Raw genomic sequence first — 21285 nt, 5'->3', positions numbered from 1 at the left:
CAGCCACATATGAACACACCACACACACAGCAAGCAATGGGCAAAAGAACAAGTTGCAGTCAATGGCTGCAGAGGGGTGTCTGGGGTCCAATGTGGGCTGCACTTTGTGGGTACTGAGGAAATGGGAAGATGCTGCTTCTAGGTCAGCTGGTGGGTTGGAGGTTGGGGGCTGTAATTAGCAGCAGCCTTAGAACTGGGATGCCTTTCAATCCCTCCTGGCCCCTTATCTCTGTGGGGCAGTCACAGGACATCATCTGTTTTATTCAAAGTTGGGACTTGCAGCAGGAGACCCTGTCCTGCATGGAGTAGGGGTCCTCTGTTGACAAACTTCTTGGTTTCCAGCTCTTCCCCATCTGCAGCAGGCCTCTGGATAAATTCTCTCTCCCCAGGACCCCTTCTCCCTCCGATGGGAGGAAGGACAGAACACAGCTCACAGCCCAAGAGGTGGGCAGACCCAGTCCAGCTGTGACTGGAGCTGGTTTTGGCTTGGGGCTCATGAAACCCACTCAGTGCAGACATCAGCTGCCCAGAGAGCCCTGGGCTGTCAGCAGCTGGGCTCCACATAGTTCCCAGGGAAGAATCCAGTCCCCTCTGAGCTGACGCCCTCGCACCAGCCATCGGAGTAGCGGCGAGTGACACAGATGACAGTGCCCTCAGAGAAGGAGAGCTCATTGTCCTTCTGGCTGGTGTATGGGTACAGTGTCACCACTGCAGGGCAAGAGAAGAGGGTGCCGTGAGATAATGCCTCTTGCCCTCTCCCCCTCACCCCCCACCACCATGGGGATGCACGGTCTCAAGTACTAGACTCTAGGGGCCATCTTGGGGGCCTTCTTGCAAGCCTTCAGGACCCCTCCCCAGCTTAGTTAATATTTAATACCAGGCCAGCTGCCCTCTCCCCAGTTCTGTCAGTTCGTCAGAAAAATTGTGTGGGGGGCCCGGGGGATAGATTCACACCTTTGCAGAGGGAGGAGAATGGGGATCAGGGCAACAGAGGAAGTGGGATCCGGTGCCCCTCAGTCCCAGAAGTCAGGTACCTTTCTCCAAGTATGAGGCAGGCACCCAGCTGGGCTCATCAGGCCCAAATCCTGGTGGGGGTGGAGGCAGCCCCAATTCATCTCCATCCAGGGGTGGAGGAGGAGGCAGGTCCAGTGGCAGGGGCAGCTCTTCGTCTTGGGGGAAAAGCAGAAAGGCTGTAAGTGTGGCACAGGAAGCTCCTTCAGTGTGTCAGGGAACTGCTCAAGAGCTGGACCCCAGAATCCACCCATCTCAGCGAGGCACGTTGGGAGGCCAAGGCGGGCAGATCACCTGAGGCCAGGAGTTCGAGACCAGCCTGGCCAACATGGTGAAACCCTGTCTCTACTAAAAATACAAAAATTAGCCGGGCATGGTGGCACACGCCTGTAATTCCAGCTACTCGGGAGACTGAGGCAGGAGAATGGCTTAACCCAGGAGGTGGAGGTTGCAGTGAGCTGAGATCTTGCCAACACACTCCATCCAGCCTGGATGACAGAGTGAGACTCCATCTCAAAAGAAAAAAAGAATGCACCCATTTCATGCAATCTTCCTCCAGCCCTCTCCTGTCCTGGTCTTCCCACAGTGCTGCTAGCACATAGTTAAGTGCTCAGTAAACCCTGAAAGATCCAGCAGTAGAGGACGGTCAGACTCTGCCTCTTATTAGCTGGGTGGCTCTTGGGCAAGTCACTGAACCTCAGCGTCAGTGGCTTCATCTGTTAACGGAGAGTGGTAAAGACCCTCTCAGGATTAAGTTTATTTTGTTTTATTTTTTTTTGAGACCGAGTCTCGCTGTGTCGCCCAGGCTGGATTGCAGTGGCACGATCTCGGCTCACTGCAAGCCCCACCTCCCGGGTTCACGCCATTCTCCTGCCTCAGCCTCCCGAGTAGCTGGGACTACAGGCGCCCGCCACCACGCCCGGCTAATTTTTTTGTATTTTTAGTAGAGACAGGGTTTCACCATGTTAGCCAGGATGGTCTCGATCTCCTGACCTCGTGATCCGCCCACCTCAGCCTCCCAAAGTGCTGGGATTACAGGCGTGAGCCACCACACCCGGCCTTTATTTTATTTTTTTGAGAGGGAATCTCCCTCTGTCACCCAGGCTGGAGTGCAGTGTGGTGATCTCGGCTCACTGCAGCCTCTGCCTCCTGGGTTCAAGTGATCCTCCTGCCTCAGCCTCCTGAGTAGCTGGAATTACAGGCACGCACCACCACGCCAGGCTAATTTTTGTATTTTTAGTCATGTTGGCCAGGTTGGTCTCAAACTCCTGACCTCAAGTGATCCGCCCTCCACAGCCCCCCAAAGTGCCGGGATTACGGCCGTGAGCCACCCCGCCTGGCCCTTAGGATTAAGTTTATTATTATTATTATTATTATTATTATTATTATTATTATTATTATTTTGAGATGGAGTTTCGCTCTTGTTGCCCAGGCTGGAGTGCAATGGCGCGATCTCGGCTCACTGCAAACTCCGCCTCCCAGGTTCAAGCGATTCTCCTGCCTCAGCCTCCCGAGTAGCTGGTATTACAGGCTTGCGCCACCACGCCCGGTCAATTTTGTATTTTTAGTAGAGACCGGATTTCTCCATTTTGGTCAGGCTGGTCTCGAACTCCCGACCTCAGGTGATCCGCGCGCCTCGGCCACCCAAACTGCTGGGATTACAGGGGTGAGCCACCGCGCCCGGCCAGGATTAAGTTCAAATGAGAAAATGGATGAGAATCTTCGAACACAGGGTCTGGTATACAGCAGGCGCTAAGTTATGTTAGTTCACTTCCTCTGTCTCCTTTCGCCCCTGTGCTGCGCTCCTTGGAGGAGGCATTCACTGAGGCTGGCCGGGGCAGATCCAAGAGAGGTGGGCTGGGGAGTGGCAGGAGGCAGAAAAGCGACCCCACGGTTGGGAAGAAGAGGGTGGACCTCCTTACCCGGTGGGGGTGGGGACAACTCCTCCAGCGTGGGAGGCCGCTGGAACACCTCGACGGCTGCTGGTGGAGGAGGTGGGTCCAAGGAGCTGGGGAGAGGTGGGGCTGGAGGTGCTGCCTGCCCCTTGGGCGTGGGGGCCCCACCGACACCTTCGGCGCTGCTGAACACCAGAGAGCCCGGTTGGCGGACACGCCTTCCCTAATGCAGCATCCCCAACTGGCCCCACCCCTCCAATCCTGACCCCAGCCCTGCACGTGTGACCCAGGAGTAACTGGGTCCTTTCAAGCCCAGGAGTCACTATGACCACTGGCAGGTGGCCCCTCTCAAAAGCCACTTCCCACCCCCCACCCACCCACGTGGGCTTGTAGGTCTCACCCGGCCGAGGCCAGGGAAAACGCAGAGGAGGCGGCGGAGAGTCTGCCGTCGGGCACCACCGGCAGGTGCACTGGCTCGGGAATCCGGGGTGGTCTCCTGGCGGGGGGCAGGGAGTGGGTATTAGGAGGAAGGAGGAAGGCTTCTGGCCAGCAGGGGTCGGGTGCGAGCAGGAAGGGCAGGTGGCCGAGGGGGAGGTTTGGCGCCAGGCATCCAGCATGACGGCCTGAGCACCCGGGGGCGCCAGGGGTGGGTGGCGAGGCTGGGGGAGGAGAGTTTCAGGGTCGCGCGGGGCAGGGCTAGGCTAGTTGGCGTCGCGGCGAGGCCTCACCCCAAGGTGGCGGAGGCGGGTGTGGCAGGGGCCTTGATGCTCTTTCGAGACAGGGTGCCTGTTCTTGACAGCTGCGTGCTGAGGTCCTGCGAGGGAGCGGGAGGTAGGGCTTACATTTGGGGTGAGGGGCCTCCCTCCACCCTCATCCCCAAGAGGAAATGGAGGAGGGGCGGACGGGAACCGGGAGGGAGAGCCCGGCATAGCCAGTTCCCACTTCCACTTCTCAGGCCCCTCTCCTACACTTCCCCCACCCCACCCCCTTGTCATTGCCTGGGTTCTGGGACTCAGTTCTACCAAAGCCCACAGCCACTTCCTCTGCACAGCCACAGCGGGTTGAGTGGGCCCAGCACCCCTGTCCCTCCCCCAGACCATCTCAGAGCCCAGGAAGCTGGGGCCCTGGCTTGGTGGTCCCTAACTTTGATCGGGCTGAGGAGGGGGCGGAGAAAGGAGAGGACACATCACACTTAGAAGTGTCCCACCTTTCATTTTCGAAGATTTGTGGAACTGGCTTTGGGGAGTTAGGGCAGAGAGGAGCAAGACCCAGGCCACTTAGAGGGGATGCGCAAATGACAGGGTGCACGCCTACATGAAAGAGGGAACTGCTGTTACCAATGGGACTTCCCCAAGGGGTGGGTACAGTGTTACCCCATGGGCTTCACCAGGGGCAAGACAAAAGAGATTTGAGCTGAAGCACAAAGAATATAAGTTGGGCCGCGAGTGGTGGCTCACACCTGTAATCCCAGAACTTTGGGTGGCTCAGGCAAGAGGATCACCTGAGTTCAGGAGTTCAAGACCAGCCTGGCCACCATGGAGAAACCCTATCTCTACTAAAAATACAAAAAAAAAAAAAAAAAATTAGCCGGGCATGGTGGCGGGCGCCTGTAATCCCAGCTACTTGGGAGGCTGAGGCAGGAGAATCACTTGAACCTGGGAGGCGGAAGTTGCAGTGAGCCAAGATCGTGCCATTGCACTCCAACCTGGACAACAAGAGCGAAACTCCATCTCAAAAAAAAAAAATATAAGTTGGACAACAGAGAACTACTGGTGGGAAGGAGGCCTGGTGGTTGAAGGGGAGAATGTCGTTTCCCCTTTAAGGGGGGCTGATAAGTTAAGGATATCAAGGGGCTCATTTTGATACAGAAATGTTAAGGTGTGGAGACAGGAATTGAAGGTGGGACGGGTGTGAGTGCGTGCCCTTTCTGACCTCGCAGAAGGACATAGGCTGAGAAGACGCCAGCGCCATGCTCCCCTCCCTTCACCAAGTCCCCTTTGTGTGGCTGTATCCCCGCTTCTTCTCACCAACAGCAGCTCTGGGGTGACTGCTCAGTGCAGTGACCTCAAACCCCCAGACAGAGGAAGTTGCTGTTCTCATGTGGCTGGGAGCCATTCTCATGCACACCCTGACATCCTCCCTTCCCCCTCTTCCCCTTCCCACACGCCCGGTGCCCACAGGGGCAGGGCGGGGGGGCGAGGGGTGCTCAGGATCTCACACTCAGCAGATCCTCCGAGGATGGTACAGACCAGTTTTGGAGGGAGGGATTACAAAATCTAGGGAGAGGGAGAAGAGCTCAGAGTGGTGGTTTCAGGGAGCGGGGAAAGAAAGGAGTGGCAAGTGGGGACAAAACTTGCAGAACTGGGGTTCTGGAGGGAAAGGGGCCACAAGGCACGAGAGGGTGGGTTGGAGGGAAAGAGGAGGGCCCCTCTCTCTACCTTGATCCCATGGCCAATGTCGTCCAGGCAGCCAAAGTTGAGGGGTCTCCTGCAGTAGGGCGTGAGAGGGGGTAGGTTCTCTGGGGCGATGACCTTCTGGCCGGGGGGCAGCCGCTGGACAGTGGCTAAGGTGCCGATCTCCCTTCGGGCCACCTTCTCCATATGCATGTTCACCATCTGCATGACAGGGTTCAAGGTGACAGAGAGGGGTGGTCTGTGTCCAGCACCCTTCCCCCTAAGGAGGAAGAAGATAAAGACTGGGCTGGGGGGGGGAGGCAGCCAGGTCTAGAAAAAGAGGGCCCTGCCCCCCGCCCCCCGCCCCCCACCAGGCTACATAGCAATTGGGAAAAGTAGCAGGAAAGGATGGAGCCACTTTGGAGCAACTTCCTGGTGGAAAGAGAGTATGGGTTATTATTAGCTGTGCAGGAACAGGAGGAAAAGAGAAAACACAACATCCCTAGGGATGCTGGGAGGAGACAAGCACCCGGCTGACTTCGGAGCAGAGGGGGAGAATATGGAGGTGGCAGAGAATGGTGGCTGGATCAGCTCTCCCCTTTGGGGGACAAATAAGTAAATTGACTTCCTCTCAGAATGTTCCATGGAGAAAGCCTACAGTTCGAAAGGGTGGGAACTCTGGTCTGCGGCGGGGGAGGAAAAGACACACCCCACCCACTGAACATGTGGGTGATGTACAGGCCAGGCCAAATGTGTGGCTGGGTCTGTGCATGTGCTTTATGGGGCAATTCCTCGGTCAAGGATCCAGGAAGGAAGGAGGAGGGTGTGTGCGCTAGAACACTGTGGCGGGGTGGAGGGTGTATACTGTATAGTGGTGGCTGTGCTTCCAGGGCTGAAGATGACCTTGTCAAGCTAGCACCCTGGGTCTGGGATATTTATGAGGGCACTGCTTGTATTTAGATGCAAACAGGGTTCATTTGCTTCTTTCCTGTATAGGGCGCTGCTGTGATTGGTAGATAACACTTTCTCATGTCCAGGATATAATTCCGAGAAAGAAAAAGCTCTGCCTTCGGGGAATTTGTAGCGTAGCCACAGAGATAAGGAGGTCCAAAAAGCTTGGGAAGTGCCAACCTTCTGCTGTAGAGTTGGGCATTTGGACATGGAGGAAAGCAGGAAGGAACTTTTGATGTAGAAAATGTCTGAGTCGGGCTGAAGAGTTGAGGCCTGACACAAGATGCCTTCCCACGCCCCACGCCCCTTACCTGGCCCAGCGTGCTTACACGGGCTTCCACCTGCCGCAGGGCGGCCCCCTGCAGGTCCAACATGCGCAGAGTGTGCCCGGCCAGGTTGCCCACCTGGTAGGCCACGCTGGCCAGTGCCTGGGTAGTGAAGGCCATGGTCTCCTCCAGCGCCTTCCGCTTGTCTGTGGCCTGAAATACACACAGCCCTGGCCTAAGGGCCAGCATCTTCCACTGGGTCCTTGGCTGGCTGGGGTGGGATGGGAGAGGATATAGGGAAAGTAGGGGCTGGATTGGGAGAGAGCAGCAACCCTTAGATGTTTGAGGTGGCTCCCAGCAGAATGATGTAGCAAGAGGAACTTGCTACAACATCACTTTAAATTCACTTTAAAAAAGTGAATCTGCAGCCTTGGGGAATGGATGCAAAGGGAGGGAAAGATACCCATTCTCAAATAGTTAAGCTGAGGACTGAGTACAGATGATAGTACAACCCTCCTGAAGACTTCAGTAACAGGCTGTCCTTTTAGGGGTTGGAGTGGGGGTGAATAGTAGAAAGGAAAGAGGAAGGCAACACTGGCTAGAGCAGACATTCTTTTTTTTTTTTTTTTTCTGAGATGGAGTTTCACTCTTGTTGCCCAGGCTGGAGTGCAGTGGTGCGATCTCGGCTCACCACAACCTCCGCCTTCCGAGTTCAAGCGATTCTCCTGCCTCAGCCTCCCAAGTAGTTGGGATTACAAGCATGTGCCACCACGCCCAGCTTATTTTGTAATTTTTTTTTTTTAGTAGAGACAGGGTTTCTCCATGTTAGTCAGGCTGGTCTCAAACTCCCGACCTCAGGTGATTTGCCTGCCTCAGCCTCCCAAACTGCTGGGATTACAGGCGTGAGCCACCGTGCCCAGCCGACATTTTTAAACACAACAAACCATGTCAGGCACGGTGGCTTACACCTGTAATCCCACTACTTTGGGAGGCCCAGGCGGGCAAATCACTTGAGGTCGGGAGTTTGAGACCAGCCTGGCTACAATGGCAAAACCTCGTCTCTACTAAAAATACAAAAATTAGCCAGGCATGGTGGTGCCTGCCTGTAATCCCAGCTACTCAGGAGGCTGAGGCATGAGAATCACTTGAACCCGGGAGGCGGAGGTTGCAGTGAGCCAAAATCACATCACTGCACTCCAGCCTGCGTGACAGAGTGAGACCCTGTCTCAAAATCAAACCAAAAAAAAAAGCTTTCCATGTGACTGTTTAGCTCCAGTCTGCAGATTGGTGTCTGGGAACTCAAATAAGGAAACTGAGGCCCAGAACAGAGGGACTTTATTCATTCATTCCCTCTAATAGCTTTCCAATACCCTGAGGATAAAATTCAAGCTTCTAACCGTGGCCTACGTACAGCCCCTCCAGGTCTGGCTCCTGCCTTTCTCTTCACCTTCATCCCCTTTAATCCAACTTCACCACTCCCCCTCTCACACACTCCCCTTCAGCCACATTGGCCATTGGGCTTCTGTTCCTGAACAAGCTGAACTGTTTCTGCCTCGGGGCCTTGGCATGTGCTGTACTTATTTTCAGAATCCTTATTAGCAGGCCTCAGCTTCTCAGAGACACCTTCCTTCACCACACTAAGATTTCCCCCAGCCCACGCCTTCACTGCCTCTTTATCATATTTACCTTGTTCTCTTTTCTTCATGGTATTTAGCAGTATCAAACATTCTCTATGTATTTTTTTCGTTATCTACGCCCCCTTGCCTTAAACGGAAGTGTCATGAGAGCAGGGAGCTTGTCTGTTTCATCCTGTATCCCGTCATGGAATCACACCCAACACGCAAAAGATTCTTCATAAATATGCACTCGTGAGTTAATTAGCAGGTCGAATGGGAACCCAAACATTCTCTGGGCACATTCCCACTGTATTCTAGGCACTGTGCCAGGCACTGGCCAGGGTCACACTGCCAGTCAGTGCAGGAGGAGTAAGCAGGCAGTGGCTGAAGGCAAGAAGTTTTTTTTGTTTGTTTTTCGAGACAGAGTTTTGCTCTTGTTGCCCAGGCTGGAGTGCAATGGCACAATCTCAGCTCACCCCAACCTCCGCCTCCTGGGTTCAAGCGATTCTCCTGCCTCAGCCTTCCGAGTAGCTGGGATTACAGGCATGCACCGCCACGCCCAGCTAATTTTTTGTATTTTTAGTAGAGATGCGGTTTCTCCATGCTGGTCAGGCTGATCTTCAACTCCTGACCTCAGGTGATCTGCCTGCCTTGGCCTCCCAAAGTGCTGGGATTACAGGCGTGAGCCACTGCGCCTGGCCAAGAAATTTTTTTTTGTTGGTCCCAGATCAGGCAGTGGGGGCTAGGGCAAAACTTCTCCGGTCTTTTGGTTCCCCGGGCAGCTTCCTCATCTCTGGTCGGGTCATGGAGTTGCCATACTCTAGCCTGTACCTTTCTAAGGCAGGTAGGGGGCAAGTCCAGGGTGAATGTGGAGTAGGGCCAGTGGGCCAACAGGCAAGGCTGCACACTGGGGTCCCCTTGCTTGAGCCCTCGGGTGCCCCTCAGGGCCTGTCAATGGAGAACAGACCTACAAACTCTCAGAGCAAGGTCTGAGACACCTGGGAGCCTCTAATGGAGCCTGAGCCAGAACCTTCTGGGCAGCCCATGCGATGGCTCTCTCCTCCTTGTCTTTCTTTTCCAACAGCAGGAAAGAGATGCTCATTTGCATGTCATTTACATCTCATTAGCATATGCACCAAAACTTACATCTCCTCAGCATAGGTCACCAAGAAGATTGAATAGGCAAAGAAATCAACCCAGGATATTAACACCAGACAGGAGAGCAGATTTTGATTTAGTTCAGGACCTTCCTTTACTAAATGAGGAAACAGGCCCAGAACTGAGCAGTGACTGCTCCTTCATCTCCACCCAGATTTCTTAGCTTGCCTGCCTTCTTCTGTACAGTTTCCTCCCCAAACGAACATGTGGAATTGTTGGCCCAAACAGGAAAAGTGTCTGCTTGGGCCCAGCTCTGGGCATCTGCAGCCTGAACACCTACCGACCCCTGGCTTTGCTCTTAGCCCAAAGTTAGGTCCGCAGGGACAGGTGTCTGAGATCCATCTCTGCGGCTGAGTGCTTGTTCATCATGCAAATTACCGTGTCTGTAAACTCAGTCAACCCTGGCTGAGAACTCTGCAGGTGACCCTGGTCTGCCTTCCCTAATTCCCCATGGGTTTCCTAGCATCTGGGTGGTGTGGGGAGAGAGGGGCTGCAGGTGGGGTTGGAGGGTAGGGGAATCAGGCCTTAGGTAACAGAAGTTCTGAGATCCAGAACCTTCCTAGGCATTTGCCTAGATAAAGATCCTCAGAAAGGCCAGGAAAGGTAACAAGTTGTGTGTTCTAGTAGTTAGTACTCTGCACGAAGGAAGCAGGAGTCCAAGGATTCCAACTTGGGTCAGGGCTTCTCATGCCCTGCATATTTTTGCAAGGACAGCTTCTCCTCCCTAGAACTGATTCTTATTATCCATCCTTCCAATGAATGGTAGTGATGGTCATTGTAAGAGCTGCCATTTATCCTGCTCTTCTGAAGGGGCTGGCACTAGGCTGAATGCTTTGATACATTTTTATATTGAATCCATGGAGCCACCACTGAAGGCAGGCATGAGAATCAGAGGAGAAACTTGCCACAGTTCCTGTAGTTGGTAGGTGGCAGAACTGGAAATTTGACTTAGGTCTTTGCGACCCCAAATTGTGTGTGCACACTGTGTGTGCAAATGAGAGCCCTGTGGAAGCTCTTTGAGGTGTGCAGAAGTTATGGAAGGAATGGAAAGGACTGCTTGGATCCTTGTCCATAGAGGAAACATGCCTTTCCATGCTAGGAGAATGAGCTGGTTTGCAAGCCTCATTCTGTCTCATCTGCAGGTGGTCACTCAACATCTACACAGACCGAAATGATACCCAGAGTAGCATTTTCAGTTAGTGGCATAGGGAGTGGGCTCTGGAATCAGATTTCTGCGTTTGAATTCAGGCTCTGACACTAGCTAGGAGACTTCTGGGAAAGTGACTTAACCTTTCCAAACCTCAGCTTCCTCACTGTGAAGTGGGCATGGGACTCGCCTCACCGGACTTCAGATGAGGATGAAGGGAGGCCATGCTGGTAACATGCCTGGCCCAAAAGAAGGGTCCAGAGCATTTTAACTGCTGTCATTACTGACTGTCTTTAATCTGCCATTTCCCATGAGCACTTGTTACTCATTTACTTCTTTTTTCAACATTCTTACTATGCTACAAGGTCCCTGTGCCTGTTCTCATAGTTTGGTTAGTACAGGTTAGAAAAATAAAGTTTTGCCCAAGGGGTAACAAGGTTAGTCTGCAGCTCTTCAGGGAGCAGAGGAAACCGGGGACAGAGAGTGCTAATAAACTGTCGTAAAGTCACATAGCGTGTAGGGAGGCAGAAAGATGGAGAGGAAAGAGCTTGGCATCAGGATTCAGGGAAGCCCAAATGTGGTGGCTTATGCCTGTAATCCCAGCACTTTGGGAGGCCAAGGTGGGCAGATCACTTGAGGCCAGGAGTTCAAGACCAGCCTGGGCTACATATGGAGACCCTGTCTTTACAAAAAAATTTAAAAAATTAGCCAGGCATGGTGGCATGCACCTGTAGCCCCAGCTACTCAGAAGGCTGAGGTGGGAGGATTGCTTGAACCTAGGAGTTCAAGGCTTCAGTGAAGCTACGTGAGCTATGATCATGCCACAGCACTCCAGCCTGGGTGACAGAGGAGACCCCGTCAAAAAAAAAAAAAGGCTGGCTGGGCACAGTGGCTCACTCCTGTAATCCCAGAACTTTGGGAGGCCAAGGCGGGTGGATCACCTGAGGTGTCAGGAGTTCGAGACCAGCCTTACCAACATGGCGAAACCCTGTCTCTACTAAAAATATAAAATTAGTCGGGCATGGTGGTGCATGCCTGTAATTCCAGCTACTCAGGAGGCTGAGGCAGGAGAATTTCTTGAACCCGGAAGGCGGAGGTTGTAGTGAGCCAAGATCGAGCCATTGCACTCCAGCCTGGACAACAAGAGCGAAAAAAAAGGAATGCCTGGCTCTGCTGTTTGGAGCTGTGTGGCCTTAGACAAGTCACCTCACCTCCCTGAGCTACTGTTTCCACATCTGTAAAATAGGAATTATAATACATGTCTCACAAGGTAGTTGTACAGATTAATGAAATAACAGAAGTGATTTCCATCATGGCTCAGTTGCCTTGCCTCTCCTCCCTGAATCCAGGAATCTATGTTCTCAGCCCCAGGACAACCACACAATTTAAAACCTGTTCTACAATGCCACCTCCCTATCTGTTGCTAGAAGCCTGCTCCCAGCAGTTATGTGGGCCATCCCCCTGCCTCTGCATGAGATCCCCTCTCTTTAGCCCAGCCTACTCTGCCTTATCCCCACTCTCCCTTTCCCAAACTCAGGGAAAGAGCCCCTTTCCCTTGTCCATCTCAGGTTCACTGTGCTGTTTGGGAAGTTCTTCTGAAGCCTCACCCAGAGCCGGCCTGGAAATAGAATGATCGCCAGCATCTGTGTGAGGACGGAGGCTTTGGGTCTCTGGATTGACCCGTGGGAACTCAGAAGGATGAACCTGAGGTGACACCTGAGAACAGGATGGAATCGCACTGTCTGTCCCAGGCATCTCTGAGGCTCTGAGAGACAGAAGGGGCACAGTGGGGGCTTGGGTAGTATGGGGTCAGGGTTAAGTATTGGGGTCTGGGATGAAGCCGAAGCCTGGAATGGGAGGATTTCTCAGCCAAGGCCCAGGACAAGCACTGTCAGGATGGGTCCCAGGGCCCCACTTGGGGCAGGGCTCAGGGTCCCCCCTCCGGGGGCTGGGGTGTCAGGCTTCCGCCCGCTCTACCTACCTGCACATAGTTGTCCTCGCAGTAGTCAGCGACCCGCAGCAGGGCACTGTGGTTGCCCCTCAGAGCCTCCCGGCCAGTGGGGATCTCAAACTCCTGCAGCTGCTGTAGCTCCGCCATCACCCCCAGCCTCTGTCTGGCTCCCCAGGGAGCCCGCTCGTTTTGAGTCTCACCCTGCCCTTGATTGGTTGCTCTGCCTTCCCTCCCTCTTATTGCTTTTGGTTTCCTCTGCGTGAGACCCAAACCTGCTTGCAAAGGGCAGGCATGCTCATTCCGGGACAAGAGGAAGTCAGTCCTGCTCCCCGAGCCTGTGTCTCTCTGTCCCCTGCCCAGAGGAAGGGGGAAGCCAGGGGCCCATTTGGGGGCCCAGCCCCCAATCCCACCCAGCAGAGGAAGCCAAGGTCGGGGCAGCTGTGATTGCTCCCTGGTCCTGGAGAGGAAACTGGTCGGCTGGGGGATGGGGTCGGAGACTGGGGAGGAAGGGGGCTGGCCTGCTATAGGGGGCGGAGGTGGATTTTCCACTCATGGAAGGCGGGAGGAAAGGGCAGAGGGTGGGGGCTTCCTTGGGAAGCTCAGGGATGAGTCACCAAGGGACAGGGGAGTGGAGGGTGGATAGGATATGGAGATCCGTCATACCAGAGGACTGTGGGGCAGCAGCACAGCAAAAATAGAAAACAGCCGATGCGGCAGCAAGAGGGGTCAGGGTTGGACACCGGGAAGACATGACCAGAGAGGTTGCCAGAGGGGTGTTAGCAAGCCTGCGAAGGGTTGTGTGTGATGAAGATCTGCCCTACACGCTCTGTGCAGATGAAGGCAGGACAAGATGAAATTGACCAAGCGTAATGTGAGGGACTCAGATTAGACAACAGGAAGGACTTGGATTTGAGAAGCACCAGGTTCAAATTTCAGATCAACTTGCGGTTTTAGGAAGCAGCGGTGGACAGAGCACTGAGCCTGCCTAGGAGGTATGGGCTGTGGTTCACGCATTAACAGGACAGTTGTACCAGACAACCTCCAGGATCCTGTTCTGATTTCAAATTCTTAGAGCTCCCAGCTGAGAGTTGGACTGGGTCCTGGAGCACGGAAGTTAGGATGGACGGCGGGCCTCCTCTCTGCCCCTCCCACCACCAAGCCTGTCATCCTAGAGACAGGAGAATAAGAGGACCTCCCATTGACCATATTGGTCCCTTAACTTTTGCTCCTCCAGCGGGTCCCTTGTCATTGGATGGGTGTCAACCAGAGCAGGAGCTCAATGTCTGTTAAATGGCATAGCCCTTGGGTGGTCCTGGGGGGACAGCAAGAAAAAAACCAGGATGTGGGTTCTGTGCTCAGGAACCCACATTCAGGGCTCAGAGGGAGGCATGGCAGCAAAGAAGCTTGAACAGAGGCATTAGAGGTGGCCACGCCCCAAGTACTAAGTGGCACAGCTTGGTGAGCAAGGACATTTTTATTGAATGAGTGGATGAAGAGTGAGCTAGGAGAACTTCGTAAGGTGAAACTGTGGGGATCCAATGGGCAACACAAAGCATCTTGGTTAAGGAGGTTAGGGGCCGGTCTAGGACTTGCCTCAGGAGGAAGGACAGCCTCAGAGCATGCTCAGAGGTGGGAAGGGAAGGAGGAGAAAGCAGGCGAAGCGGGGTAAGTGGGGCTGCAGGGTGGAGGTGGAGAAATAGAAGCGCTGCGGGCTCTAAGCTAGTGAGGTCACCAAAAGTGTGAGGCTAACGCAAGGCAAGGTGGTGAAAAGGTGGCTTCTGTTTTCGCGTTTGTTTTTGTGGGGAGAATGTCTGTCTCTCTGCTCTGCTGTAGTGAGGGCTTGAAGGCTCAAGCGGGTGATGGGCTTAGAACTTTGAGCCTATGATCAGCTTAGGCATCAGAGATTTTGGTTTCCAGGCCATCTGCTTTATCTGAAGATTTTCAGCTGATGAAGAACTAGGAGGCTCAAACACTATCTTACCTGAGTCCAGGACAAGTGACTTGGAGAGTGTGCTCTTCTGTGGCAGGTGAGAGGGGCTGAGGTTGCACTGGGCTGGGATCTACTCTTAGTATCACTGGGGCTAGGCACCAGGAAGGCCTTCCTGATAACCCTGCAGTGATAATAATAACAATAGCATTATTAGTGATAATAATAAGTGTATTAAGTGTTCATTATGTGCCAGGTAGTATATTATAATATTTTATAGACATTATTTTCTTAGTACCCACAATAATTGCATGTGGTAGGTTTTTTTAATACCCATTTGCAGCTGGGGAAACTAATACTCAAAGAGGTTGAGTGACTTCCCTAAGGCCACACTGAGAAAGCAGTAAGGAAGCAGCAGATCAGAGTTGGAGTCTGGTAAGCTCCAGACCCCCTTGTCTCTCTCTCTCTCTTTTTTTTTTTTTTGAGATGGAGTCTCACTCTTGTCGCCTAAGCTGGAGTGCAGTGGTGTGATCTCGGCTCACTGCAACCTCCGTCTTCTGGGTTCAAGTGATTCTCCTGCCTCAGCCCGCTGAGTAGCTGGGATTACAGGTGCCCGCCACCACGCCTGCCTAATTTTTGTATTTTTAGTAGAGATGGGGTTTCACCATGTTGGCGAGGCTAGTCTCGAACCCTCAACCTCAGGTGATCTGCCTGTCTCAGCCTCCCAAAGTGCTGGGATTACAGGCATGAGCCACAGTGCCTGGGATCTTTTTTTATTTTTTGAAACAGTTGTTCTCTGTTACCCAGGCTGGAGTGCAGTGGCATGATCTCAGCTCACTGCAACCTTCGCCTCCCAGGTTCAAGCAATTCTCATATCTCAGCCTCCCGAGTAGCTGGGATTATAGGCACTCACCATCACCCCGGCTAATTTTTCTATCTTTTGTAGAGACGAGGTTTCGCCATGTTGGCCAGGCTGATCTTGAACTCCTGGGCTCAAGCGATCCTCCCACTTTGGCCTCCCAAAGTGCTGGGATTATAGGGGTGAGCCACCGCGCCCAGCCAAGACCCCCTTCTCTTGACCATTATTGTATACTCTCCCTTGCTGGACCTGGAGAGAAAGAGGAAAACTCTGAGTCACTATATGAAACAATAACGTTGCTTCCCAGATCTTCCTCTCTGAAAGAAACTCCTTTTTCTTTCTTCTCTGTTTCCTCTGTAGACAGACAGACAGATGCCTCTATAGACAGACAATCCAAATTTCCTCCATAGACAGACAATCCAAAGGCAAAAATGGTGCCTCCCCCATCAGACTGGGAGCTTCCTCCCCTCCTGAGCCCAGACTCTTGAAGAAGCAGGGCATGCAAGGATGGAGTGAATATCTGTTGAATGATGAGGGGCCTGAACTGAGGGATATGGCAGGGAAGATGCTAGAAGTCGAGGTGTGGAGGGAGCTGGAAGAGCTGATGAGATTTATGATCCTGGCTGCTGAATCCTTTCCAGGATCAGGTCTGTCTAGGGCAGGATGGCCCAGGATCTCAGCGAGAAGGACCTGTTGAAGATGGAGGTGGAGCAGCTGAAGAAAGAAGTGAAAAACACAAGAATTCCGGTGAGCCTCCTCGCCCCGTCCCTGCTCTTCCCTTCCTGTTCCTGATGAGCCCCGGGAAGGAGGAAGTGACCAGAAAGGGTGGTGGGACTGTTCCAGGGCTGCAGAAGCAGCAGGAGGTACCTCTGGGATGGGGTAGGATGCAGAGAAAGGCTGGGGTTGACCCTGTGAAGGTGCCAGCCTCCCTGAGCACAGGAGAGAGCTTCAGGGCCTTGGAGAGCTCAGCGTGTCCAGCCCTGTGTCTGGGCTGGCTCTGGCCAAGCAGCCCATGAAGGTCAGGGTCAGTGTTGTGGGTCAGATCAAGGAACTCACACCCCCGAACACCTGTCTGTCCTCTGTGTCTTTCTCCTCTTTGGCCCCTGTCTCTGCCCTGCCCAGAAGCCTGTTTTTCTGGCACTGACCAAATCATGGACCCAGAGACAGTAACAAGGACCTAAAACATTTTTTGTGTTCTCGCAGATTTCCAAAGCGGGAAAGGAAATCAAGGAGTACGTGGAGGCCCAAGCAGGAAACGATCCTTTTCTCAAAGGCATCCCTGAGGACAAGAATCCCTTCAAGGAGAAAGGTGGCTGTCTGATAAGCTGATGGCATGGAGCCCTGCCCTGAGTGTCTGTCCCTCTTCAGCCAAGCCCAAGTCTCCTAGACCCCCAGGGAGCCAGTGAACTGTCACCTTCTCTTCATCACAGAATGAGTAAAGATCCCTGAACAAATGCATTGTGAACCCATTCCCCACTCCCACCTTCAACTCTTTTCTCCCATTATTTCCTCCACCTGCTGGGTCTCTGCTGACCTTGCTGGGAACACTCTGAGGACAGTGTGGCTGGCCGAGCGGTTGGCCCCATGGGTGGTGGGGTGTGAGAAGCCTGCAATACCCCAAGACCCCAGAGGGCAGTCCTTAGGAAGCACTTACACCACCTGGGAACCCCTCCGTCTTTTCCCTCTACTCTCATCCTAGGAATAAAGCATTTCCACGCCAGAGTAGTTTGGGCTGGGGGCCAGGGTTGGGTGGTCCTGTCCCTCCATATCATGTCCTACCCTATGGTCCTGTTCCTAGTCATTTAGATCACCCCAGATGGCCTGATGACAACAAGAGTTTGTGAAGTTATGATTTCATGATTTCTTTAATATTGTCAAGTAGTCTGTTAGTGCTGGGCACTATGGATGGAAGAGTGTGCAAGACGAACATGGCTCCTATTTTCATGGAATTTAGTGGAGAAGACATGAAACAATTTACAATTAAGTCCATAAATGCTACAATGGGGAGAGTCAAGGGCAGTGTAGGAACACACAGCCGAGAGACATTCAGGGCAATGAACAATGTCAATGTAAATGCCGTCGAGGGGTGCAGAATGGGGGCTGGAAAAGCATGAGGCTAGAGAGGGAGATTGGGGTCAAGTCTTGAAGGACCTTTCGGTGAACTCAGTTAGGAACTTTCTTCTTTATCCTAAGGGCAATAGGAAGCCTAGGACGGTATTTAAGCAGATTCTGGTTAGCAGAAGGGAGGCTGGATCCTGCTAAGGACTGGGAATGTAGTGATGGATCAGACCAATTCCTGGGCCTTGTCAGCAAGGAAAGGACTGAAAGAGCCGCAGACAAACCAGCACTCACAATACAATACACTCAGTGCAACAGCGGAGAGGTCTGCGAGGGCTATGATGGAATCCCATAGGAGGGCTACCTAATCTTGCTGAAGGGGTGCGTTGAGTCCTGGGAAGGAAGACAGGAAAGGCCTTTAGAAGGAGGTGATATCCAGAGCTGAGTTCTAAAGGGTTAAGTTGTCAGTGGGTGGATGGATGGCACTTCTGGTGGGCCAGTATAAACAAAGGCATGATATGAGAAAGGACCATGGTTTGAATGGGAGCACCAATCAGGTTGGAGTGGGAATGTCAAAAGCTCTAGATCCTTAGGATCTGCTGCTAGAGAGGGCTTGGAGGTGATTAGAGGGGTCTTGTTTGCTGAACTAAACAAACTTATTTGCTGGGAATGACTTGGTAATGTTAGAAGGAAATTTGCTTTTTTGGGGGAGAGGGTGACAAAGTCTTGCTCTGTCGCCCAGGTTGGAGTGCAGGGGTGCAATCATGGCTCACTGCACCCTCTGCCTCCTGGGCTCAAGCAATCCTCCCACCTCAGCCTCCCAAGTAGCTGGAACTACAGGTGTGTGCCACCATGCTTAGCTAATTTTTAAATTTTTTTGTAGAGACAGGGTCTCACTACATTGCACAGGCTGATCTCGAACTCCTGGCCTCAAGCAATCCTCCTGCCTCGGTCTCCCAAATTGCTGGGATTATAGGCATGAGCTACCAAGCCTGGCTGGAAATTTGCTTTTTACAAGATTGAACAGGGAAAGAGTAAAGGCAGAGTGGCAGTTAAGGAGGTGATTTTTCCATCAGGGGTTAGGTGAGGAAGGCCTGAATTAGGGCAGTGGCCATAAGTCTCGGGGGCGGTAGGTAAGCTGATGAGTTCTTTGGGAAATAAAGTTTTCAGATCTTGACACTTCTTTGAGTTATGAGTGAGGGAGAATGAGTTGTCAAGGATGGCATCCAAGTTTCTGGCTTGTAGGGTTTACTAGATAGAAATGAAAGCAAGTCTCTGAAAACAAACCTAATCTAATAGTCATCCTACATACTACAGCTGCAGCCTCCCTTCCCCAGCTGGTCACAGCCCAAATGCCAAGGGTGAGGTCACAGGGCCTCTGTGGTCAAAATCCAGGATCTCCACTTCCCAATTCCATCCTGACTCCATCTCACCATTCTGCAAGCTGGTGTCAATTCAACCACCCTCCATATACTCTGCTCAAGAGAAGGAAAAGATGAGGAATGAGAAAGGAAAAACATTAAAGACAGTAATTCTTCCTTCAAAAAATGGGGAAAGGTAAATATTCCATAGGGCTCTGGCAGTAAGGAAGGGAAAAAAGATGGGAGGCCAGTCATGCAGCCATCGGCCATGTGGCTACAGCTTCCTTCTTCCACCTGCCCAGTCCTTATTCTCCTGTCTTCAGGCAGGCTCTCACTGGTTGGGGTTCTGGATCCAGAGCGGCAACTCTAACCTCTGTTCCTGAGGCTCTTCAACCCTTGGTGGGACTCTGATTAGAGTAGCAGCTTCTTCAGCCCACCGTTCCGCGGGGCATTGTGCCCCAGGTGTTCTCTGGTTCCTCCTGTACCTTTCCTGGCCACACCAGGGTGTGGTAACAATCACAGGACACCCTGAGTCTCAGGGTCGGTCATCAGCCTGACATTCTGACCCCCTTTTCTGTCTCTTCCTAATGCCACAGGGAGCCTCAAATGGCACGGTAGAAATCTCAGCTTCTAAAGGGATTATGACATTGTGCCCTGTGGCTTCCTTCCCTCCTTTCTTTCCTTCTTTCCTTCCTTCCTTCCTTCCTTCCTTCCTTCCTTCCTTCCTTCCTTCTTTCCTTCCTTTCTTTCTTCTTTTTTTCTGAGACACAGTTTTGCTCTTGTTGCCCAGGCTGGTGTACAATGGCCTGATCTTGGCTCACTGCAACCTCTGCCTCCTGGGTTCAAGTGATTCTCCTGCCTCAGTCTTCCCAAGTAGCTGGGATAACAGGCATGCACCATCACGCCCAGCTAATTTTATATTTTTAGTAAAGATGGGGTTTCTGCATGTTGGTCAGGCTAGTCTCGAACTCCCGACTTCAGGTGATCCGACTGCCTTGGCCTCCCAAATTGCTGGGATTACAGGTGTGAGCCACCGTGCCCAGCGGGCAGCATTCCTTTCTTGCATGCCCAGACCTTCACACTGTTGATTAGGAGGACAAGAATGATAATTCTAAGAGTGGGTCATTGATGCCATCTGAGCCATCCTTTCCCTCCTCTAGCCTATAGATCCTTGAGTTTTTTAGCCATGAAGGGAAAACACTGTAAGTTGTTTCTGGTTCCATTCATAGCACAGCCAGCAACCTTCCTGACATCACTTAGTCTTTGCAAAGTGGTGTCCACCTACCTGGCACCACCCTGGGTCTTTACTAGGACAGCCTATCACTCAGCCACTTGCTTCTAGATAACAGACACATGGTGAGATCAGCAAATCCTGTGGACAGTAGCCCCAACCTTATTTCTTTGTGTTTCTTTGGTAGTTTTATTTTGAAGAATTTTAGATTTACAGAGGCATTGCAAAGTTAGTACAGAGAGTTCCCATATACCCTTAACCTGGCTTCCCCTAATGTTAACATCTTCATAACCATGGTACTTTTAAAATTAAAAAATTAACATTTGTATAACACTGTTAACGGAACTCCAGACTTTATTTGGATTTTCCTAGCTTTTTCACTAATGCCATTTTTCTGTTCCAGGACCCACATTTAACGCCTTACTTCTTTTGCTGGGAAGAGCTTCTTGGTTGGAGCTAACCTGGTCTAGGACACCGTAGCTGCCTAGAAGACATCACATGAATCCATAGATGGTGGTGTTGGCAGGGAATACAAACTCAATTCCTGAATAAGTGCCTATTCCAGTGAGGACAATTCTGTGTCCCTTCCATTGACCTGCCACCAGAGAACTGGATGGTTGCCTTGAGGTCTGGTACTGTATGAGGGGCTCAGGGTTTCACCATTGCAAGCTCATTGGGCAGTAGTGGACCTACACTGGCCTTGATGAAGAGAAGTCCATGCTGTTCCATCCAGGCATAGCCTCTATTCCTGCTTCTCTGTTTGCTTTGTTTCATGAGCTCTAGACAGCCCCTTGGTCATCCTGTCTATGGCTTGTGAAAAGCCTCTTTTGCAGGGAGCCTTCTGGTAAACCTGTTTGTGACATGTATTTTCAGTTTCCAGGCTCACCCAAAGAGGTCCAGCCACAAAGCTCTCCCCAGATCTCCTTGTTTTCAATTCACTTATGCTTCAAGACCTTGATCACCTGACTCAAACCTTAATTGCTTCCCAAGAATCAGAGAGGAAGAAATTCCTTTCTCTGCTGACTTTCAGGGCCACCCTCAGAAGGTCAGTTTCCAGAGAAAGGAGAATCACTATGATCCAGCCACCCAACGTGATTAGGAACTGAATTGGGGAGGAAGGGTAAGAATGGAGAGCAGATGAACTGGAGAGGTAGTGAAGAAGTAGAATTTTCAGGGCCTAGAGATTGATTGAATGTTGGAAGGATGGAGAAGAAATTATCAAGGATGACTTCTGGTTTCCTCCATGGATGACTAGGTGAATGGCGGTGTCACCAGTTGGAAAGCCTTCCCCACCAGGTGATCCCACGTGACTCCACAGGCTTTTCCTCCTCCCTTTGCACACCTGTTGAGGATCACTGAGAGGTAGTAGCTGATACAACAAAAGTGGGTGAGATTGACCAAGAGGACTGTGTGGATTGAAAGGAGGGCCAAGAATAGAGTTTGGAGTAACTCCAGAAACTC

At 52.2% G+C, this 21285-nt stretch overlaps 2 protein-coding genes across 9 annotated transcripts, besides 8 other annotated features; one reads left to right on the top strand and one right to left on the bottom strand.

The window, feature by feature from the left end:
- On the bottom strand, positions 35–12553 carry ABI3 (ABI family member 3). 5 transcript variants are annotated; one of them, XM_005257429.3, is made up of 8 exons: positions 12419–12553; positions 6562–6729; positions 5345–5521; positions 3635–3720; positions 3307–3402; positions 2934–3091; positions 1035–1190; positions 35–708 (listed from the first exon to the last, which is right to left on the bottom strand). In XM_005257429.3, the coding sequence occupies exons 1-8, from the start codon at positions 12533–12535 to the stop codon at positions 545–547; spliced, it is 1122 nt and encodes a 373-aa protein (XP_005257486.1). In that variant the 5' UTR covers positions 12536–12553; the 3' UTR covers positions 35–544. The 5 variants fall into 5 exon arrangements, with proteins under 5 accessions (XP_005257486.1, NP_057512.2, XP_011523175.1 ...); NM_016428.3 differs by having other exon boundaries at positions 1035–1169; XM_011524873.2 differs by having other exon boundaries at positions 2934–3088.
- Positions 9058–9217: an enhancer, noted in NCBI's record as "active region_12357". NCBI's record gives its function as "activates an Ori minimal core promoter by ATAC-STARR-seq in GM12878 lymphoblastoid cells {active_cell/tissue: GM12878}" and the evidence as "EXISTENCE:reporter gene assay evidence [ECO:0000049][PMID:35858748]".
- Positions 9238–9337: an enhancer, noted in NCBI's record as "active region_12356". NCBI's record gives its function as "activates an Ori minimal core promoter by ATAC-STARR-seq in GM12878 lymphoblastoid cells {active_cell/tissue: GM12878}" and the evidence as "EXISTENCE:reporter gene assay evidence [ECO:0000049][PMID:35858748]".
- Positions 9358–9427: an enhancer, noted in NCBI's record as "active region_12355". NCBI's record gives its function as "activates an Ori minimal core promoter by ATAC-STARR-seq in GM12878 lymphoblastoid cells {active_cell/tissue: GM12878}" and the evidence as "EXISTENCE:reporter gene assay evidence [ECO:0000049][PMID:35858748]".
- Positions 12372–12541: an enhancer, noted in NCBI's record as "active region_12354". NCBI's record gives its function as "activates an Ori minimal core promoter by ATAC-STARR-seq in GM12878 lymphoblastoid cells {active_cell/tissue: GM12878}" and the evidence as "EXISTENCE:reporter gene assay evidence [ECO:0000049][PMID:35858748]".
- Positions 12634–13310: an enhancer, noted in NCBI's record as "H3K27ac-H3K4me1 hESC enhancer chr17:47287312-47287988 (GRCh37/hg19 assembly coordinates)". NCBI's record gives its function as "activates a minimal SCP1, AML or CMV promoter by ChIP-STARR-seq in naive H9 embryonic stem cells {active_cell/tissue: H9 hESC(naive)}" and the evidence as "EXISTENCE:reporter gene assay evidence [ECO:0000049][PMID:30033119]".
- Positions 12634–13321: a biological region, named in NCBI's record as "H3K27ac-H3K4me1 hESC enhancer GRCh37_chr17:47287312-47287988".
- GNGT2 (G protein subunit gamma transducin 2) lies at positions 12686–17026 on the top strand. 4 transcript variants are annotated; one of them, NM_001198754.2, is made up of 4 exons: positions 12686–12816; positions 14306–14415; positions 15816–15921; positions 16378–17023. In NM_001198754.2, exons 3-4 carry the CDS (start codon positions 15838–15840, stop codon positions 16501–16503), a joined length of 210 nt encoding a protein of 69 aa, NP_001185683.1. In that variant the 5' UTR covers positions 12686–12816; positions 14306–14415; positions 15816–15837; the 3' UTR covers positions 16504–17023. The 4 variants fall into 4 exon arrangements, with proteins under 4 accessions (NP_001185683.1, NP_001185685.1, NP_001185684.1 ...); NM_001198756.1 differs by lacking the exon at positions 12686–12816 and adding an exon at positions 13860–13907 and having other exon boundaries at positions 16378–17026; NM_001198755.1 differs by lacking the exon at positions 12686–12816 and adding an exon at positions 13860–14017 and having other exon boundaries at positions 16378–17026.
- Positions 13212–13321: an enhancer, noted in NCBI's record as "active region_12353". NCBI's record gives its function as "activates an Ori minimal core promoter by ATAC-STARR-seq in GM12878 lymphoblastoid cells {active_cell/tissue: GM12878}" and the evidence as "EXISTENCE:reporter gene assay evidence [ECO:0000049][PMID:35858748]".
- Positions 13332–13421: an enhancer, noted in NCBI's record as "active region_12352". NCBI's record gives its function as "activates an Ori minimal core promoter by ATAC-STARR-seq in GM12878 lymphoblastoid cells {active_cell/tissue: GM12878}" and the evidence as "EXISTENCE:reporter gene assay evidence [ECO:0000049][PMID:35858748]".

This window comes from Homo sapiens, chromosome 17, assembly GCF_000001405.40.
Source record: "Homo sapiens chromosome 17, GRCh38.p14 Primary Assembly".
Lineage (NCBI taxonomy): Eukaryota > Metazoa > Chordata > Mammalia > Primates > Hominidae > Homo > Homo sapiens.
Note: the sequence above shows the minus strand (reverse complement) of the source record. Positions and strands in the feature narration are given on the sequence as shown.

Excerpts from the sequence above, each read along its gene's own strand:
- ABI3 (XM_005257429.3), bottom strand. The coding sequence starts at position 12,535 with ATGGCGGAGCTACAGCAGCTGCAGGAGTTTGAGATCCCCACTGGCCGG. Across the intron at positions 3,721-5,344 it reads ACATTGGCCATGGGATCAAG|GACCTCAGCACGCAGCTGTC; the intron begins GTAGAGAGAGGG and ends GCTCCCTCGCAG. Across the intron at positions 3,403-3,634 it reads CCCGCCTCCGCCACCTTGGG|GAGACCACCCCGGATTCCCG; the intron begins GTGAGGCCTCGC and ends GCCCCCCGCCAG.
- GNGT2 (NM_001198756.1), top strand. The coding sequence starts at position 15,838 with ATGGCCCAGGATCTCAGCGAGAAGGACCTGTTGAAGATGGAGGTGGAG. Across the intron at positions 15,922-16,377 it reads TGAAAAACACAAGAATTCCG|ATTTCCAAAGCGGGAAAGGA; the intron begins GTGAGCCTCCTC and ends GTGTTCTCGCAG.